This window comes from Homo sapiens, chromosome 1 (assembly GCF_000001405.40).
Source record: "Homo sapiens chromosome 1, GRCh38.p14 Primary Assembly".
NCBI lineage: Eukaryota > Metazoa > Chordata > Mammalia > Primates > Hominidae > Homo > Homo sapiens.
This window is the reverse complement of record NC_000001.11, coordinates 237,575,333-237,597,197: the sequence shown is the minus strand read 5'-3', so window position 1 is coordinate 237,597,197 and position 21,865 is coordinate 237,575,333. Positions and strand designations below refer to the sequence as shown.

General features: G+C 38.7%; 1 protein-coding gene across 18 annotated transcripts in view, besides 1 other annotated feature; it reads right to left on the bottom strand.

Moving 5' to 3' along the window:
- The window catches only part of RYR2 (ryanodine receptor 2), a 791,805-nt gene that overhangs the window by 236,791 nt on the left and 533,149 nt on the right, over positions 1-21,865 (bottom strand). For 11 of the 18 annotated variants that reach the window (XR_007062490.1, XR_002957299.2, XM_006711802.4 and 8 more), the window contains 6 exons: positions 7,197-7,405; positions 6,206-6,558; positions 5,345-5,459; positions 3,562-3,722; positions 3,069-3,098; positions 1,541-1,700 (listed from right to left, as the gene is read on the bottom strand). Coding sequence is in view for 16 of the 18 variants with exons in the window: in XM_006711802.4 (XP_006711865.1) it covers positions 1,541-1,700; positions 3,069-3,098; positions 3,562-3,722; positions 5,345-5,459; positions 6,206-6,558; positions 7,197-7,405 (1,028 nt within the window). In the remaining 2 variants the exon portion in view is untranslated. The remainder of the gene's footprint in view (positions 1-1,540; positions 1,701-3,068; positions 3,099-3,561; positions 3,723-5,344; positions 5,460-6,205; positions 6,559-7,196; positions 7,406-21,865) is intronic. The other 7 variants (XM_006711805.4, NM_001035.3, XM_047427329.1 and 4 more) reach the window with 1 other exon arrangement.
- Positions 6,041-7,240: an enhancer, noted in NCBI's record as "BRD4-independent group 4 enhancer chr1:237753258-237754457 (GRCh37/hg19 assembly coordinates)". NCBI's record gives its function as "activates an origin of replication core promoter dependent on BRD2, P300/CBP, MED14 and CDK7 cofactors, and independent of BRD4, by STARR-seq in HCT116 cells {active_cell/tissue: HCT116}" and the evidence as "EXISTENCE:reporter gene assay evidence [ECO:0000049][PMID:35650434]".

The window sequence follows — 21,865 nt, the reverse complement described above, 5'->3', positions numbered from 1 at the left end:
TAGTTACTTTTGACAATTTTGACTTTTAACCTTCATACTAGAGTACTAGAGGTCTGAAAGATTTGGCATAGCACCATTTCAGTACTGCAGTATTCTGAGTTTGATTTAAAATTTACTTCTACGAATGGGTTTTATACTTTTACATGTTTTCATGATAGTAATTACCATCCTTTTGCTTCCAGCTTTAGCACTGCCTTACGCATTTCTTCTAAGGCAGGTCCAGAGGTGGTGAATTCATTCTGCTTTTGCTTATCTGTGGAGTACTCTATTTTTCCTTCATTTCTGAAGGATAGCTTTGCTAGACATAGTATTCTTGGCTGACAGTTGTTCTTTCAGCACATTGAATATATCTCATTTCCCTAGCCTTCAAGGTTTCTGCTGAGAAACTTGCTGATAGTCAAATGGAAATCCAAGTATATATGACTTGGTGCTATTCTCTCATTACTCTTAGGATTCTTTTTCTTTGATATTTGACAGTTTGATTATAATGTGCCTTGGAAAGGACTTTTCTGGGTTGATTCTCTTGAGATCCTTTGAGCTTCCTGGATCTGGATGTCCATATCTTTCCAAAGATGTGGAAAGTTATTAGTCATTATTTTGTTAAACGTTTTCTGTGCCTTTCTCCATTGCTCAGTGGCATCCCATAAGTTCTATAGGCTTTTTTCCTTCTTTCTTATTTTTATTTCTTTTTCTCCCTCTGGATGGGTTATTTCAAAAGACCTGTCTTCAAGTTCATAAAGTCTTTCTTATGCTTGATCTAGTCTGTTGTTGAAACCCTCAGTTGTATATTTTATTTCATTTATTGAATTCTTGAGTTACAAGATTTCTGTTTAGTTCTTTTCTACTATATGTATTTCTTCATTGAATATCTCATTCAGATCATGAATTGGTTTCCTAATCTTGTTGAAGTATCTGCATTTTATTGTATCTCACTGAGTTCCCTTAAGATCATTATTTTGAATTTCTTTTCAGGCATCCTATAAATTTATTTTGGGGAGGGGGATCTGTTACTAGAGAATTATTGTGTTCCTTTGGAGGAGTCATGTTTCCTTCCATTCGCGTGTTTCTTGTGTTCCTTTGATATCTGTTCATCTGGTAAAACAGTAGCTTCTTCCAACTTTATGAAGTAGCTTTTGTAGGAAATAGCTTTTCCTGTAGATGGGTTCTAGGGTACCGGTTGGGTAGGATACACTGGTTTTGGTTCTGGGTGGATGCGGTAGTGTAGTATCTGTGCAGATTCTTCAGCTGTAATTTATGTCAGCAGCATCTGCAAGTGCCTCAGTGGTCTCGCTACAGGCATTTGTGGTGGTGATTGTGCAGCTTTGTTGGGGTGAGACCTGTTTCTCAGGTCACAGGAGTGCAGTGGCTGGGACAGCTATGAGGAGGGCTTGCTAGGGGCAGGTCTGCTCGGCTGATTTTCAGACCAGGGGCACATGTACATGTGTCTATTTTACTTTTTGATCTTACAAACTGTGTTTTCCTTTAATGGGGGAAAGAAGTCTTCCTCCCTAGAAGACTGATATCATCACTGACCGCGTACCTGATAGTATGTGCTCAGTTCCTTGCCATTGGCAATGAATGTGAGCAGCCCGCTGGCAGCATCCACCACACAGCCAATCTCCAGTCCATTATTGTTGCGTCCTTGCCCGGGGCTCATGCTCTCACCCGCACATACCATATAGCAGTTGCTGCGTTTGATGCTGAATTTCAAAAGAACATTTTTATCTTTGTACAACCACAGATAAAAGAGAAAGCAGGTATATCTTGCAAACTAACTAAATTATGCTGCGCAAGCAACAAGCTCATGCTGTAATGGGAGAGGTGCACAATAGGCCCGATTCTGTGATTCTGAGCAAAACTCCATTGACTGCAGTGGACGTTCTGAATCAGGTCTTATAAGTCTCTACATTTCACACCTAATGAAGACAGGTCAACAAGTTGGAACCAAGTAAGAACTGACCTGCACCTTCTCTCCAAAAACTCAAACCAAACTAGACCTTTTTCTGGGTTCAAAAAAGTTTAACTATTTAAAAATCATCCAAATTTGTAATTTTCATCTCATGGATTTTTTTTAGCTTTTTTTTGTTTTGTTTTGTTTTACCACTTGTTCTGAAATGAGAAGCATTTATTTCCAGACACTATCAAAGTCCTTAGGCAAATTCTACATAAGCCTTCAGTGATTTGATATACTTAAAATTTGGCTAAAATTTTGCCCCTTTCTGGACAATTCCCAGTGATCTGAGAGACAGATTTAACTAGAATATGCAAAAAAAAAAAAAAAAAAAAAAAAAAAAAAAAAAAAAAAAAAAAACCCAGTGATATTAACCACAAATGCCACCTGATTTTCACCTTCCCTAAAGCTTTTACTAGAGATGGTAACAAAGTTAAGTAATTTGAGCCTTATCAGCATTCTCTTTCTTTGCCACTGTACAGTAAACATATTAACAAAACCAGCAAAAAAGGCTAAAGCCAGGCAAGCAGAAGGGAAAGAACAAAAAGGCTGGGATAAATCAGTTTTTGAGTAATCAAATGTAGGCTGCATTTCTTCACACTATCTACATAAAATCCAATGACCCTTCCCTATCTTCCATTTCCTCCAACAAAATCATCTTTCAGTTATCCCATCCCTATATTGAGTTCTTTACTTATACTGTTGCCATCCCTGAAAATTAAGCATGGCCCCCAAAAAATATTCCTGGAGACATGTGGTTTTTTTGTTCCAAACTTATGTAAAGAGCTCTTCATTAGAGATTTTTGCTGGGCTCCCATTGAAAATGCTAAGTCCATTATGCTTCATATGTTACAACCCGAGGGCAGGAAAGTGAGTTTCCCAAAAAATGATGGTGCAAGTATAGAAGAAAAGCAACGTTATAAAGGACTCTTTCGGAGACCTGTCACAGCAGATCAGAGAGGATGCATGGGCACAAAAGGTAGAAGCCAATGGTCAGATCTTCTCTTGTCTTATTCTGCAAGGAAGATAGCCTTCTTCACTTTTTTGAAGGTTTGGTTTGAGTTTGGTTTGTTTTACAAATGAAAAAAAGATGGCACAGAAAGTGTAACTGACTTACCCAAAGCCACACAGCGAGTCAATGGCAAAGCTGAGGAAAGAACCCACTTCTCCTCAGTCCGAGTTCAAATGCGTCCACCTGGTCTAAACTACCAGCCCACATTGTCTTCACAGTTTTCTCCCCACCACATAGCCAGTTCCCGAAATCTATATCAAGTCATTGGTTAAAAGCCGCACATTCACCCATCTCTCAACCCTAAAACAAAGGCTAAGTATTGGTAACCCAAGCTGTTAGTCATGTTACCTGAAGGAATATATGATCATTACCCCAAAAGGCTGCACTGCTCTTACTGTACAATGTTTGCACATTTAACACATTTAGATTCCTTAACTGGTTTGTATGAATAACAAAAACGACATTGACATTAATGGCTTGATTATATTCTTCCTATAAATAGAAATACCTTGGTCACAAAATACAAGGAAAAGGAATAGCTAGGTTCACCAATATTTTTTTCACATGTCATTCTTGCAAAAAATTGAGGAAAACTAACCTTTCATGCACTTTTCCTTTTTCATCTCCTAGAGTAACTGTTACTGTGCGAACTCTGTCCAAGTCAAAGCCTGTGTCATACTGATGGAAATCTGATGTAATCCAGCCCACCCAGACATTAGCAGGTTCTTGTCCAGGAAAGATTCTCACTGAGTAATAGTACTGTGAAGATAGCAGAACCAAATATTGGCAAAGTAAAACTAAACAAAACAAAACTTGGATTTGCAATCCTAACTGTGTCTAAGTCTGTGAATGACTTAAGAATTCACTTCTTGGTTTAAAACCGTTTGGGTGAATGAAAATATTGTAGGCACAAAGGACTAACACTACAAACTAAGAAACGTCTTTTACCAGAGATCCTGAATTAAATAAGAAATAACAGGAAAGAGAGAAAAGATGTGATCTGAGCAAACATGCTAAATGATTTAAGTCTTTTTATGCTGGTCAGCATATATGTGTGTGCTAGATGTGTGTAATATACACACATACATATATATGTGCACATATACAGTGTATGTATGTAATAAAACCACGAATCCATTAAGCATAGGGAAGCTTCAAATTCTTCAAGCTTATACATGTATGCAAATCTATGTTCACTTTTTTTTTTTTTTTTTGAGATAGACTCTCACTCTGTCACCCAGGCTGGGGTGTAGTGGTGTGATCTCAGCTCACTGAAGCCTCTGCCTCCCAGGTTCAAGAGATTCTCCTGCCTCAGCCTCCCGAGTAGCTGGGACTACAGGTGTGCACAACGACACCCAGTTAATTTTTATATTTTTAGTAAAGACGGGGTTTCACCATGTTAGCCAGGCTGTTCTCGAACTCCTGACCTCAGGTGATCCACCTGCCTCAGCCTCCCAAAGTTCTGGGATTACAGGCGCGAGTCACCGCACCTGGCCAATGTTTGGGTTTTTATACTCGTCACCCACCTTTTTTGCATGTTCTTGGCCTTTCCTTTCTCTGACACATAACATTTTGAACTTTAAGCTCACTTTTTTTTTTTTTGAGACAGAGTCTTACTCTGTCACCCAGGCTGGAGTGCAGTGACACCGTGTCGGCTCACTGCAACCTCTGTCTCCTGGGTTCAAGCAATTCTCCTGCCTCAGCCTCCCTAGTAGCTGGGATTACAGGTGCCCACCTCCACACTCCACTAATGTTTATATTTTTAATAGAGACAGCGTTTCACCATGTTGGCCAGGCTGGTCTTGAACTCTTGACCTCAGATGATCCATCCACCTCTAACTCCCAAAGTACTGGGATTACAGGTTTAAGCCACTGCACCTGGCCTAAACTCATTTTGAAATAGTTCAGAACATGTGAACATCAAACTCAAATATGGGATCACTCTACAATGAACACAACTAAATACTTTTTCAATGTAGCATTTTAGGAGAAGTAGCTTTGAGAATTTAAAATGGAAGGGAGCAAAGCTTGACCTCTCACAAATTATGATGATTGATCTTCAGACAATTCAGTAAGATGAAGAAAATCAAATGTAGTTGAAAAATTCAAGGGCAATTTAAAATTTTGTCAAGAAACAGAGCAAAATTAAGATTATGCATGCCATTACAAATATTTTTTCTAAAATAACTCTTGTATTGCATAATATCCATCATAATACGTAAACTTTTTTCAAACTTTCAGTCCCCAAAATATATCCAAAAACAGAAACAGACATTTTAAAAATAATGTTACTAAGTATGATGAATCGGTATGTATTACTGGAGATGTAAAACATAATGAGTGACAGATAGAAATAAACGACAAAAGCTGCAACCTCATACCGTGGACGTTTGCATCAAGAAATCATAGTCATCCCGATCATCAGCAAGGACATCTTCGGTGAGTCTTGCAGAATGGCTTGTGCTGTAATCTGGCTTTGTTCTTCTAAGCAAAAATCTGAAATATTTCAGAGGACTAACAATAAGCAACATTAAAATGTTCTGTCTACTTCAAATATGAGCATATAATCAATTGAGTTGCCTTAAACCTGGGCGATTTTGCTCCCTGGGGGACATCTGGGAATATCTGAAAATACATGTTTTTGGTTCTCACAGTTTGGGGGATGGAGTGCTACTGGCATCTAGTGGGTGGAGGTCAGGATGCTGCTCAGCATCCTTCAATGTCCAAGGTGTGTCCTCAACAAAGAATTGTCTGGCCTAAAGTGTCAATAGTGCTGAGACTGAGAAACTCTGATTTAGTATAAGAAAGGATGTTAAAATAACTTGCCGCCTTTATCATAAAAAATACTATTTGGAGAAAATGCTCTGCAAGTTTCAGGCAAGAATGTAAACACAGACATCTTAAAAAGTAACTCTTGAGATAGATTGCACCTACGCTAACAAATTAGATGACTAACAGGTTGCTTAATTTTTCCCTACAGCATCCTTTGCACAAAGAGGAGGAGGAGAAGGGGGAGGAGGAGAAGGGGGAGGAGGAGAAGGGGGAGGAGGAGAAGGGGGAGGAGGAGAAGGGGGAAGAGGAGGAGGGGGAGGAGGAGGAGGGGGAGGAGGAGAAGGGGGAAGAGGAGGAGGAGGAGGAGGAGGAGAAGGAGGAAAAAATTTACACTAGGAGACCCTTTACTCTGGACTGTAACCTTCCTCACATAACTACAAATTTAAAATCACAGCGTATAAATTAGTAACCTTTGTTTCAGACGAGAGGGCTTTTCCTGGGCATAATCTTTGTGGTTGTTAAACTCTGGTTTAGTAGCTTCTTTGTCTTTGTCAACACGATCGGGCACTAGATGGCCATGAGCTGTCTTCATCAGAACCTCAAAGTCAGAATCAGCATCATAATCTTCCAAGTCATTCTTGGGCCCAAAAAGGCCAGCCCCAGGGAGCCCTCCAGCCACCGTCTTGGAGAAGACCTCCGCGCACTCGATCGGCATGCTCAGGCGATAAAACATGATATCAGTGTTGCTGTTCTGAGAACCAAAAGACTTCTGAGTGACCTTTAAACATGGGGAACTGTCTATGGTGCCGTCTATTCTGGTCACCTAGCAAACGAAGAAGCGATAGTTCACATTCCAATCACCATTGTCAATTTCCTGATTCTAAAGATGACTAAGGCACATCACGTTTTCAGAATCCCAAATGCGGTCCACACATGGCATCATTTTGTAAGAGATGATTAAACAGATTACTGTGCTATGGATATAGTCATAGAGTTCTGCTTCTGTTTCTAAAGACGGTTTCGGAAATTTATCTTATAATTCTATATATTCAGATTCAGCCTGACATTGCCCACACATAAAAAGGAAAGTATTTTTCATCATTCTAACAAGCTACTTGTAACGTAACTAATATGAGAATGGATGTGGTTCCCTTTGCCTTGATCTTTCTTCTAGCTAAAGAGCTTGATGCGCACAAACCCCAGACATAGTCTGAGCTATAGACTTCTTCACACATAGCTCAAGAAAAAAAAAAAAAGAATTGAAAGCAAAAATTTAAAAGTTTCCCATCCACTGATAGCTGGTAGAAAGTACCATCTTTGCTTAGATTCCACTACTATATAACACATCAAGGTCATCATTTTAAGTAAGTCATAATAATTGTCTAAGCAGAAGTTCCTTTGTATAAAGATATTCTTTTCCTGCTTTTTAGAAATGGCCTGATTTTTAAAGAAAAAGCAAACCTCTATATGTTCATGGTTTGATGGAACTTGAAGAAACTGAGGAAGCCTCTTGCTCAGCCACATGGTAATATCCCTGTTTGTATTAACGGCAAATGGTTCATAGCCCTCTTGTAAGCCACAGATGGTGAAATATTTCAAGGTGCTGACATCCTTTCCAAAGTTCATCCTACCCACTTGAGCCACTCCAAGGCTACACACAGGTATGAATCCTGGGAAGAAAAAAAAAATCAAGTTTTAGTACCATTAGTATATGATCCTGTTAGTATAGAATTATCAAACATATTGTTCCAGGACCGAACTTTGTGAGAGCTGTCACCCTAGGGTGAAAAAAGTAGTGTAATAAAGGGAACAATGACATTAAATATTACCCATAAGGGTGAGAAAACCAGGATTTGATCTTGACATTATAATTTACTAGCTGTGGGCCCTAGATAAGTCCCTTCTGTCATCTCAGACTTAACTCTGTAAGATGAAGTAAATGCTATGCAGCCCCTGGTCCTCCGGGGATTCTAGAGATCCCCGCCCTGCAGTCTCCTTGCTCAGGAGTGCATGTACTCTCTCATATAGGGAAAGTAAGAAGGAACTAAGTGCCAAGGGATGTGGTTCACTTGCCTTGCTCCTCCTTCTGGCTAAAGAGCTTGATACATACTAACACCAGACACAGTCTGAGCTATAGATTTCCTCATACATAGCTCAAGAAAAAAAAGAATTGGAGGCAAAAATTTAAAAGTTTTCCATCTACTAATAGTTGCTTTTGATCTTTGAAGAAAATTTTGCTTTTTTTCTGGAATAAACTGGATCTAAGCATGGGGGAAAAATACATGTTTAATGTATGAAGCATGTATTTATGCATGAATGAGGTACATTTATAATGCACAAATTATATATATAATCTTATGTTTATATGCAATAGCAATGAACAATAGAGCAAAAACCAATAAAATATTTCATAAGCTCTTCCCATGTGTGTCAGAGTTAGCAAATCTTTCCTCTTTTGAACAAAAAGGGGAACTATACTAACTTTGTTAATTGTTTTTTTGAGCTCTTTGGAATTGATTGGCAAGACAATGAGATGGTATTTTTTGGAAAGGAGATGAGATTTTTTTTTTCACAAGGGGATGAGATGATATTCTTCAGGGATGGGTGTTTATGTACTCTTTTTTTTTTTTGAGACGGAGTCTCGTTCTGTCACCCAGGCTGGAGTACAATGCTGTGATCTTGGCTCACTGCAACCTCCGCCTCCCAAGTTCAAGTGATTCTCCAGCCACAGCCTCCCGAGTAGCTGAGACTACAGGTGCACGCCACTGCGTCCGGCTAATTTTTGTATTTTTAGTAGAGATAGGGTTTCACCATGTTGGCCAGGCTGGTCTCAAACTCCTGACCTCAGGTGATCTGCCTGCCTTGGCCTCCCGAAGTGCTGGGATTACAGGTGTGGGCCACTGTGCCCAGCCTTCATTTCTTCCTGTAATGTTTTACATGAATGTTCAAGTAGGCAGCACACTAAAAACGTCAGTATTGGAATGCAGACTACAAATTAGATCCTCTAATTTGTAGAGCATAAAACCAATGGATCCTAAGAATAAGCCAACAATTTTGACAAGAATTGTAGTTAGCTCTGTCATTATGATTTACACACTTTTCTCTTACTGAAATTAGTGGCAGTGAAAGCAATATATAACCCCCAAAATAGCATAAGATGATAAAAATTACATCCAATAATTCATAATGATTTTACCCAGTTTGTATGCAGCAACATATAGTCATATGAATAGCTGTATAACAGTGCCACCAACCAGGAAAAAAGAACATATCCAGCTGTGTTCAAGGAAGAGTAAATGATGAGTTTCTAGTTAAAACTAAAAAAAATTGCAGCTGTATCTGCAGCTGTGACAGCTCTTAAAGCTATAGTCAAGAAAAGTTGTTTTAAATGAGTGTCCCCAAAGAAATCAAATAAAAAGAAATCAAATCAAATAAAAAATCTATTGTATTGTGTAAATACAATAGATCTCAGACAGCTTGAACTGCATTAACAGAAATTAGTAAATCTAGCACCCATTTAACATAAACTAGGAGCTACCAAGATAGAAACATTTCCTCAAATGGTAAACATCTATTTCTTTCTGATCACTTTATTTGTAGAAGGAGTTCCTAGCCTACATGGAAAGTTATTGGATAGCTGTAAATATCTGTATAGTTGACCTTTGGCTATTTGTTTCACTAATACCTAAACTTTTCTGCATATTTGAAATACTTTCATTTAAAATATTCAGTGTCTAGTAATATGCACAAATATTTATGTCCTAAACTGTTCCCCATAGCTATGTTTACAATTCTAGAATACTGTTTTGATAATAAATATACTTTTTTTCGTGAGACGAACATTATTCAGCCTTTGACATTTTGGTTTTCAAAGGCCCACTAATGCATAGGAAAATACTCCAAGTAATTATTATTGAAAGAAAGAAAGATAACATATGGTTTATTTTTAAATAGGAAAACAGCAGCAGGGTTTTTATTTAAAAGCTTCAGAATAGTGGAATTCCTGGTAATTTTGTTCTCTATGGCTCCCAATTTAACAAATTTTCTTCAATGTATATATATTTTATTAAAAAACAAGCTTTCATTTTTAAAATTTTATTTAACAAAATGGGACAAAAATTTCTTTCCCATAAAGAAATTTGTAAGAGTGGTGTGGACATAAAATGGCCCAAACAACATACTGTTTGAGTCCTAACACTCAATGTTGGCAGGTGGTGAATTCAGTAACAGAAATCCTCCAAATCAACTTAAACTAGTATAAGATTTATGTAGAGCAATTTGGTAATATGTGTTAAGAAGCTTTCAACCATTCATTTACTTATTCGATAATTACTCACTAAGCAACTACCATGTGTCAGAAAGTAGGAGTAAAAGATGACTAACACAGATCCAGGGCAAAACGTGCTCGTGGTCTAATAACATACAAAGAAAAGTAAAGAAGTTATACTGGCTGGGCCCAGTGACATTTGTAATCCCAGCACTTTGGGAGGCTGAGGCAGGTGGATCACTTGAGGCCACAAGTTCAAGACCAGCCTGGCCAATATGGTGAAACCCTTCTTTACTAAAAATATAAAAATTAGCCGGGCATGGTGGTGGGCACCTGTAGTCCCAGTTACTTGGGAGGCTGAGGCAGGAGAATCTCTTGAACCTGGGAAGTGGACATTGCAGTGAGCCTAGATTGCACCACCACACACCAGCCTGGGCGACAGAGCAAGACTCCGTCTCAAAAAAAAGAAAAAAAAAAGAAGTTGTTATACTGAAATAGCGTACCATCCATCTAAGCAGCCAGGGTTCTAGGAGCAAAGGAAGTATGGAGAGATGGGAGTCAGGAAGGTTTTGTAGAAGAGTTAACATCTAAGAAGATGGCAGACAGATATTACTATGAAGTGATTAAAAACACAGAGTTCTAAGTCCAGTAAACCAGGATTCATGTCTTAGCCCCTCCACTTGTTAGCTATTTGATCTTTGGCAAGTTACTTAAATTCTCTAAGCTTTAATCCTATCTTCTGTAACTCCTGCCCCTTAGGGTTATAGTTTTAAAGTTAGATCTTGTATGTATAATGCTTAGCACGAATGCTCAGTGAACTGAATTTTAAATGGTACAAAAAGGTAAAAAGAGAAATAATCTATTCCTGAGAATAATTAACTGTGATACATACACAGGAGTAAATACGTGCAGCCATTAAAAGTCATCTTTAGGGCTCAACAAAATAAACTGTAGAGAGAGATAAAATTAATATGGCAAATAAAAATAATTGACGATTGAAGAATATACAGGTGTTACCAAAGCATTTTTTTGCACTTTTCTGCAGGGCAGATATTCCTCAAAACAAAAAGTTGATTTTAAAAAAACCAAAAAAGTATGTTTAAAATGTTTCTAAGCCTTTGGACAAATATGTAATATTAAGTTAAAAAGGAGGTGATGGAAAATTATTTTTACACTATCATCTCAGTTCTTTAAGTAGGAGAGATGTATTAAAAGTCAATTTTTTCTCTGTGTAGTGGGAATGTTTGTAATTTTTAATCACTTTCATTATATTCCTGTGTATTTTCCAAATATTCAAAAGCAATATAAAACTTTTAAAATAAATAATTAAATACACCCCATTTTTGCATTAGTTTATAGCAATTATACCAGTAGATGGTATTTCTATTTATTGCTTTACTGTTTTGGTCCCCTTTAAAGGAATGTATTTATGCAAGTACCTCCACAGGTAGAAACTAGCATATTTTTTTCTCATTTTAAGTGAAGCAGAACTTAACAGGAAAAATCAAATCATATTCTTACTTCTGAAATTATGGTTTTAATAATCTATTATAACAAAACAACCAATATTTCTAGAAACTACATTTACTTTTAAAAATTAGCCTATACACAGCAAGGACAACTATGTGGCAATGGGATCAAAGAAGACAGAGTGGAGAAAAACTACAGGTACTGTTCAGCTGCCACACAGAGAAAGGGCCAGGCCTCCGTCACCTCCCTTTGTTCAGTACATGACAAAGTATCCTGCGTAATGAAGAGGTCGCCAATAAATGAAATTCCCAGCACACATGGCTCCATATTAGTAGTTAATGTTTCCTGATGTTTCATCTTGGTGAACCCTTACAACCATCCAATGAGATAGGAATCGTTATTACCATTTTCCACATGAGGAAACCAAAATCTTAGTTTAAATCACTTGCCCTCACAGCTACTAAGTGACCAGAAAATAAATCCAAGTCTGGTGGATCCCAATGCCCATGCTTTATCCTGGGGCTCAGCAAACTCTATAAATGACTACAGAGAAGACATTTTAGGTTTCATGGATCATATGGCCTCTGTTGCAACGACTCAACTCTGAGCTATAGTGCAAAAGCAGCCATAGACAGTAGGTAAACAAACAAGCGTGGTGGTGTTCCAATAAAAGTTTACTTAAAACAGCAGGGCCAAGGCAGTAGTTCATGCCTGTATCTGTATCTGAGAGGCTGAGGCAGGAGGCTCGCTTGAGCCCAGGAATTTGAGACCAGCCTGGGCAACATGGCGAGACCCTGATTCTACAAGAAAAAAAAAAAATAACAAATTAGGTTGACTCTGGGCACACTGCTTAGGAGTTAGCTTTGTTTTTCAAAGAGCTATTTTAAAAAATTAAAAATTAGCTGGGCATGGTGGCATGTGCCTGTGGTCCCAACTACTTGGGAAGCCGAGATGGGAGGATCACCTGAGCCCAGGAGTTGAAGACTGCAATGAACTATGATCACTCCACACTACTCTAGACTAGGTGACAGAGCAAGGCGAGACCCTGTCTCAAAAAAAAAAAAAAAAAAAAAAAACAGGTGGTGAGCTGGATTTGGGCCTTAGTTTGGCAATCCCTTTTCTAAGTTACTGTTCTACATTGTCTTCATAGAGTATCAGGTGTCTCCATTCAGCAAATATTTAATGAACACCTACCATGTGCCAGGAACTGTTCTACACACTGGGAATATAGCTGTGAACAAAATCAAAAATAACCCCTGACTTTCTGGAGCACAACTTTGAATACAAAAGACAGGTAACAGGTAAATAAAAAACTAGTTACCATTGTATACCACTGTCTACATCATATAGTGTCAGAAAATGATAAATGATATTAAGATGGAATGTTTGGCATAAATTGAACAAAACAGGTTGGTAAATGACATCACTCTTAATCATCACTCCATAGCTAAACATAACTGGGGTTCAATTCTTTATTAGCATGAAGTAGGCAGAACACACACAAGTATTTCAACACAATAAAACAGATTTCCACAAAATCATGCCTCTCCCCCAGCACATGTAAAATATGGGTCCCACCTTCCTGTCCTTTGTGTTCTTGATCTTCTATCCAGTTACCTTAATTGACACCCTGCAAATAACAGAGCCTGATGATATATAAGGGAAGTTTTCATTCTGGCAGTGGATCTTAAATTAGTGCATATGAGCCCAATCAGTTACTTGGGCCTGAGCCAGACCCACCCTAACTATTTGCAAATCTGTTAAAACAGTAGCTACAACTTATGGCTAAGCTGCTTCCTCCAACAAAAGACAGATGGCTTCAGCAAATTTTAACTTTCTGTGCTGATGAGCCTCCCTGCTCCAGAGCAGAGGGGAGGGTGATGAGCATGCAAATCCAGCCAAGGAGCTAGCAGTCCCAAAGATGTAGGGGCAAAATACAGGCTTGAAATCTCTGTTTGGGGCTACAATAAAAGGAAGATAAAGCAGATCACAAGCGTACCAGCTTTTCCTAAGAATAAATTATTTCAAATTTTAACATTTCTGAAATACAGTTAAGAATCCATGTATTAAATATATAACCCAAACCAAATGGCCAAAAAGCAGATAAAAATGACCAATATTATATGAAGATGTAAATTCACATTTTTTGATCAGAAGAAAAGGTAACAGCTAGCTGCTTGTGGCCTACTATGTGCCATATAATACATAAGTACTTTTGCCTATATTATTTAATATTAATCCCATTTTTTCAGATGAGGAAACAACTAAGATGTTAAGTCATTTGTCTAAGTTTCTATAGGTAGTTAAATGGATGCTAGAATTTGAATCAAGAATGCTGAGAAGGACAATCTACAAAATGGGAGAAAGTATTTGCAAACTATGTTTCTGACAAAGGTCCTAATATCCAGAATCTATAAGGGACTTAAATAACCCAACAAGTAAAAAACAAATCACCCCCATTTAAAAAATGGGCAAAAAAACATGAACAGATACTTTTCAAAAGAAGACATACAAGCAGCCAACAAACATGAAAAAATGTTCCCATTGCTAATCATCAGAGAAATGCAAATCAAAACCACAAAGAGCTACCATCTCACACAGTCAGAATGGCTATTATTAAAAAGTCAAAAAAGAACAGATGCTGACGAGGCTGTGGAGAAAAGAGAATGCTTATACGCTGTTGGTGGGAATGTAAATAAGTTGAGCCACTGTGGAAAGCAGTTTGGAGATTTCTCAAAGAACTTAAAACAGAACTACCATTCAACCTAGCAATCCCATTACTGGGTATATATATATATATATCCAAAAGAAAATAGATCATCCTACCAAAAACAGAAACACGCACTCATAGGTTTCATCCCAGCACGATTCAGAATAGTAAAAACATGGAATCAACCTCAGTGCCCATCAACAGTGAACTGGATAAAGAAAATGTGGTACACATACATCATGAAATACTATGCAGCTATAAAAAAATGAAATCATGTCCTCTGCAGCTACATAGATGCAGCCAGAGGCCATATCTTAGCACCCAGGAACAGAAAGCCAAACACTGTGTATTCTCACTTACAAGTGAGAGCTGAACACTGGGTACTCATGGACATAAAGATGGATGGCAAAAACAGAAACTGGGGACAACTGTGGTGGGGGGACAAGGGTTGCAAAATTATTGGGTGCCATATTCAGTATTTGGGTGAAAGTATCAATTGTACTACAAACCTCAGCATAACACTATATACCCAGGCAACAAACCTGAACATATAGCTTCTGAATCTAAAATCAAAGTTGATTTTTTTTTTTTTTTTTAAAGAATGCTAGCCAGGCACAATGGCTCACTCCTGCAATCCCAACATTTTGGGAGGCCAAGGTGGGCAGATCATCTGAGGTTAGGAGTTTGAGACCAGCCTGGCCATTGTGGTGAAACTCCATCTCTACTAAAAATACAAAAAAAAAAAATTATCTGGGTGTGGTGGCCAGTGCCTGTAATCCCAGCTACTCAGGAAGCTGAAGCAGGAGAATCGCTTGAACCCAGGAGGTGAAGGTTGCAGTGAGCTGAGCTCATGCCACTGCACTCCAGCCTGGGCAACAAGAGCAACACTCTGTCTCAAAAAATAAAATAAAAATAAAATAAAAATAAAAAATAAAGAACTCTGAGAGGGAAGGTAAAACACAAACAAACAGAAAAACACTTGCCTTTGATTTCTGGAATCTTAGAACTGAACTAGACAAGAAGAGATCATCTCTAATTTGTGTTTTTATTTTAAGGAAATGAAAACAGGCTATTTGCCCAAGGCCACACAAGAATCATTTCAGAATTGGGTTGTACTTGGATTCCTCTGCTATAGAAGTTGGCCTCACAGTCCTGATTTCTTCCTTCCTCTGACAAGTGTTGATTTTTAATTAAGGAGATTCCCAATAATAAGTTACTCTCCCAGGTCTGTATCATGATAGCAGGTTGCACAGAGGATGCTGGTGACAGGAACTTCAGCTGTTATGGTAAAGCCAGGCAGGTGGGTTTGGGGATGGTACAGACCTACTAACCTTAATTCACACCATGTTGAAAACCAGACTTCTGAATAAGCCACCCATTTCCATCAAATAATCTAACTGCTGCAATATTTCAACTGAGGGTACAAAGCATACTGTAGGAACAAACTAGTAGTTCTATATCCTGGCTTCTTTTTTTTTTCTAAAACAGCAGCATGATAAAATCAATAATGGAAAGTTTTCCCTGCCTCTCTTTTTTATTTTCTTTTCTGTCTACAGCTATACAGCTATTTTAATTACAAAAATAATCTGGTTTTCTCCCGAGGAAAGGAATTCCATGAGTTCTGAGAGGACCAGGAATTCAATTTTACTCACACTCCTTTCAGGTGGCAAATACAGACTCAAAAGTATTGTTTCTGGATTTGATTATAACCATCATGGGCCTCTGAGATGATCTTTACTTGCAGAATAGCTGAGAAGCTTGAAATGGACAACACAAGATACGTATCCACAGCAGACACTGTAGAATGTGGTAATCTCCAAACATAAATAACCGTTCTTTTACCATAAACTATACATCAAGATTTTAAGTGACTCTCTCACTTATTTTTAATTAAGGATATGGTTAGCTCTTCAAACTACTGATAATATAAGGCTGTTCCCGTAAGAATAAATTGAGAATAGTACTAGCTTAGTAGGGGATGCAAGAGTAGAAGGGGTGGTGTATTGGTCAGCTCAGACTGCCATAAGAAATGATCACAGACTGAGTGACTTAAACCACAGAAATGTGTGATCTCACAGTCTGGAGGCTGGAAGGCCAAGATTAAGGTGTCAGCAGGCTTCGTTTCTCCTGAGGTCTCTCTCCATGGTGTGTAGATGGCAGCCTTCTGGCTGTATCCTCACATGGTCTTTTCTCTGAGCACAGTCAACCCTGGTGTCTTCTCCTCTTCTTATGAGGACACCAGCCATACTGGATTAAGGCCCCACACTATTACCTCATTTAACCTGAATTACCCCTTTAAAGGCCCCATCTCTAAATACAGCCACATTGAGGGTTAGAGCTATGCAACTCAGTCCATAACAGGTAGAATGGAGACACGGTTTGTATTCAGAACGCTGTATCTGCCAGCAGACACATGTCCACCAAAGCCATGTGTGTGGAGCCCCAAGGAACCCGGAAATCATCCCTCATTAGAAGAATTTGAATTCTACTTTATGGGAAATTCATTTCATTACCCCTTAAGGCATTTCTTCATTTTTTTTTTTTTTAAAGCATTGTTGGGGCCTGGCGCAGTGGCTCACGCCTGTAATCCCAACACCTTTGGAGGCTGAGGCAGGCGGATCATCTGAGGTCAGGAGTTTGAGACCAGCCTGGCCAACATGGTAAAACCCCATCTCTACAAAAAATACAAAAAATTAGCCAGGCGTCGTGGTGTGTGCCTGTAATCCCAGCTACTCAGGAGGTTGAAGCAGGAGAATCCCTTGAACCTGGGAGGTGGAGGTTCCAGTGAGCTGCGATCACACCATTGCACTCAAGCCTGGGCAACGAGAGCAAAACTCCGTCTCAAAAAAAAAAAAAAAAAGAATTGTTGTGATTTCACGTGGCTCTGGAGGAGCCAAGCAGAAGCAGAGTGAGATGTGCAGTCTTCCTCACAGTCGTAAGAATTAGCCCATAGCGCCTAAGTTCTTTCAGCAGACAAGCACACGCTTCACATCAGAGAAGACTCTGTGCATGGTTTTCCCTATGCCGTCAATATGCTGGGTAAATCAGATATCATCTGCGTTTCTTCACTGACATTCCTTTGTCTTTATTGTTTTTTTCCAACTTTATTGTTGCTGGTTTTGTTTTGCTTTCCTTACACTGAAGTTTGAATTATGTACATATTCGGTATGATATATTCTGTAAGGGAATCTGGAGTTTATACTATGTGATAGTTAAGAACAAGCTTTGGTAGAACAGGTTAACAACCAAACTGAAGAACAAGTGAAGAAGGGAATACATTTAGGTGAGCATATGACATGTTAATTAATTACTGACTTCATTTTAGGGAGATTTAGTATAATTTTAATACAAATTAGGTTTAATATAGGAGCTCAAGAATGCACTTTTTTCCTATTAAATTAATAATAGTTTTTTGACCCATGGAAATTTGCCCTATGAGTGTGCTTTAAGAAGTAAATTTTCCCCCAGTGCAGCAGCTCACGCCTGTAATCCCAGCACTTTGGGAGGCCGAGGCAGGTGGATCACCTGAGGTCAGGAGTTCGAGACCAGCCTCACCAAATGGTGAAACCCTGTCTGTACTAAAAATACAAAATTAGCCGGGCATGGTGGCGCATGCCTGTAATCCCAGCTACTCTGGAGGCTGAGACAGGAGAATCGCTTGAACTCAGGAGGCGGGGGTTGCAGTGAGCCAAGATCACGCCACTGCAGTCCAGCCTGGGCAACAAGAGTGAAACTCTGTCTCAAAAAAAAAAAAAAAAAAAAAAAAAGAAGAAGAAGAAGTAAATTATCCTCACGTGGCAAGGAAGAGAGCACAAGGCAAAGAAAAAGTACAATTTATTATTAGCTGGTATTTGGGACTCAAGTTCTGATTTTTTAAATTGGTGAGCTGGGCTTAGATCATAAATGAACTAGAAGATTTGCTTCTGTTTCTCCAGAGACTTAGAATGAAAGGCACTGGTTGGCCTTCTTAGTTGTGTTTTGTTTCTTTTTTTTTCCCTCTAAGCTGATATCTGATTCTCAGTCCTTAAGATGTTACTATTCTAATGGTACAAAAGAACAGGGAGAGATAAACCCAACCCAAGAGGTCATCAAGGAAGAGACCATTTCTCCATGTGGCCAGGACCATCTTAAGCCATTCACTGCAGGACTCTTCTGTTCCCAGAGGTCACAGACTTATCCCAAAGATGCAGGCAGGAAGAGACACTGAGGGAGCGTACATGCCCCCACTCCCACCACCTTATCAAAACTGCAGAATGGGCGAGAGACACTGAGGGAGCGTACATGCCCCCACTCCCACCACCTTATCAAAACTGCAGAATGGGTGAGAGACCTTAACAAATCTCCAAAATTACCCCCAAAAGAGGCATTGCAAAATAAGTCTCCAAAAAAATAATACCTCCAAAAGGGGCATTGCATCAACTCTAGTTCAGAAATCTTTTGAAAGAAATTCTCTTGTGTAGGCTTATGTTAGAAGATGGAAGGGAGACTTCCCTTTGGAAATAGGCTTCCAGAGAAGGCGGCAATGGGAAGCACCAAAGGACTATGTAGGATATGAGGCAATCAAACACTAGGGAGTTGGAGAAGATAAAGAAATACAGAGAAGCCATTCATTCAAAGCCGTTCATTTTGCTTGGGGAGTTCCCCTACACATACAAAGCACCCTGCTCATAAAAGAGAGGATACTACTATGACCTGTACCTGAGCCATTTTTTTTTCTGTGCTAAAATGAAAAAATTGTCTCATTTCATCCACTTGTGCTTGAGATCACACCCCCCTTCACCTTATCAGGAACATGAGTAATTATCTCCTCTCATACTTATACCTTTATCATCAATTTCTCCTCTTCTTACTAGATCAGTCCCAAAAGCTCTACAGACACAATCCTGTTTCTTCTTTAGGAATTTCAGAACAGGTGTGGTGGCTCACGCCTGTAATCCCAGCACTTTGGGAGGCCACAGCAGGCAGATCACCTTAGGTCAGGAGCTCAAGACCAGCCACCAGCCTGGCTAACATGGTGAAACCCCGTCTCTATTAAAAATACAAAAATTAGCCAGGCATGGTGGCATGTGCCTGGAATCCAAGTTACTTGGGAGGTTGAGGGAGGAGAATTGCTTGAACCCGGGAGGTAGAGGTTGCAGTGAGCTGAGATCGTGCCACTGCACTCCAGCCTGGGTGACAGAGTAAGACTCTGTCTCAAAAGAAGAATTTCAAAATACACAGAAGTGGACCGTGGATTACTGATAAACTTTTGTTTGTGACACACTCTCATCATCACCTGTTTTTATTTATTTAGTTGGTTCTTTTAAAAATACTCTTAAGTATCTACCAACCTATTGCTCAACAGGGCTGAGTTCCTTCTGGAGGCCCTGCAGTGAACCCACTTCCTGACTTTCCTGTCATTTCTAGAGGTCTCTGGCTTTCCCTGACTCCCAGATCGATCTCTCTCTTTCTCTCTCTCTCTCTCAAACACACACACACGCACACACACACACACACACACACACACACACACACAGAAACACACACTCCTACTTCCTTCTTATAAGGATCCTTGTGATGACATTGGCTTCCCAGATAATCCAGGTTAATTAATCTCCTCATTTCAAGATCACTATCTTAATCACATCAACAAAATCTCTTTTGCTATGTAAAGTAACATATTCACAGATTTCCAAGAGTAGGCCATCAATCAACATCTTTGGAGGACATTATTCGGCCTACCATAGTTATCTTTTGGGACTTCTTTCCCTTAAATATCCATGTTGTCATTTATTACCGTAGTTTCCAGTTAATTCATCCATCCTGTGTGCTTTCAGTTGTATCCTGGCTTTGGCAATTGTGAATAGTGCTCCTACAACCATTCTTGTACATATCTCCTGCTGTTGAGACACACTAGTGTAGCTAAAAAACTGGAGTAGAATTTCTGGGTCATGGGTATGTGAATATTCCATTTTCAGAGATCCTGTCACACAGTTTTCCAAAGTGGAGAGACCAATTTGAGCTCCTAAGAGCAACGTAAAAGAGGTTCTATGGGTGTACTGCTCTCCAATGCTGAGTATTGTCAGGTCTTTACAAATGTTTGCCAACAGAATGGATGTAAAATAGCATTTAATTATGAATTTGCATTTCCCTGATCAATAATACTGAACATCTCTTCACACGTTTATTGTCCCTCTGAGTTGTTGCTTCTATGAAATACCTGTTCATACCTTTTCATCATTTTGCTTGATTTCAGAAATTATATTTTCTTAGCACTAACATTTTTTTCAGTTGTACACATTGTGAATAGCTTCTCCCCATTAATACCTGACTGTTTTTCTGCTTCCTTTAAGGAAGCAGAACATTCATTTTTTTAAATGAATGTTCTTAAATTTGTCTATATACTCCACCAGTGGTTTCAAAGTTTTGCTGTTGACATTTAAGACCATTTGGAGTTCGTTATCATATAGGGTGTGAAGAAGTGACCATCTCATATTTTCACTACAGATCCCCATTTGTCACAGGCCTCTTTTCTCCAACATACTGACACACTACCTCATCATGTTCTATGGCATCTGTTTCTATATCAGTTCTATGTTTCTGGCATCTCTACTTTATGCCATTTGTCAATTTGTCTATCCCTACAACAATACCACTCTATTTTAATGACTATAGCTTCACAATAAATCCTGCTATCTGGTAGGACATGCATCCCCTCACTGCTTTTAGACAGAAGATATTTTAGCCCTTTACAATTCCATATACATTTTAGAGTCATCACATCGACTTCCATAAAAACACTTGTTGGGATTTTTATTTGAAAAGTCTGATCGACGGATTGAAGCTATAGATCACTTTTGGAAGAATTAATATCTTCAGGCTTTTGTCTTCTCCATGAACATAACACACCTCTCATTTATTTGGTAATAAGTCTTTTAATAAAGTCAACCATCTCTCAATAAGTTTTAATAATTTTCTCAGTAAAGGTATTATATACCTTCTGTTAGAGAGATACCTAGCTACTGCTAGTCTCTGATGCTACTGTAAATGGTATCTTTAATTTACTTTTCTTAACTGCTGCTAGAATAGAAATTCTACCTTGTGAAACACTCCAATTGTTCCTAGTAATGTGTATAGATTCTTTAGGGTTTTCTCTGTAAATACTTATATTGTCTTCGAATGATGATAAATTCGTCCCTTTTACTCCAATTCTTATCATCTCCAATTTCTTTTTCTTGTCATATTACAAGTTTGAAAAACAATTTAGAAAAAATCTTTTAGCACAGCAATAAGTTGTGGTTGCTAAAGTACTGAAAGGTTTTATAAGTGCTCTGTAATTACATTTCTCATATAACTACCCTGTCTCTGTGTCTGTGTCATGCTTGATATGGCATGTTTTGCCATCTTCATAATTCCTTCTTATTGTTACATTGGCTAGTAATGAAAATAATTATGTGGTAAGATGGATGGAAATTTATATAGGTACGCCGGGGGTGGGGGGAAAGAAGAGAGATCTCAGGCCTCTATTACCCTTGTTCTTGTCCCCCAACTAATGTGATGAGGATCACCTCCACTAGGCTCTTGAGGAATGTGTACATAAAGGGATGCTCCATATAAAAATCATGGCTTTAATATAAAAAGCCTTGGTCCCAAAACATGATGTGGAATAATCTCTGGTTTTGGTAAAATGCAGTAGACCATAGA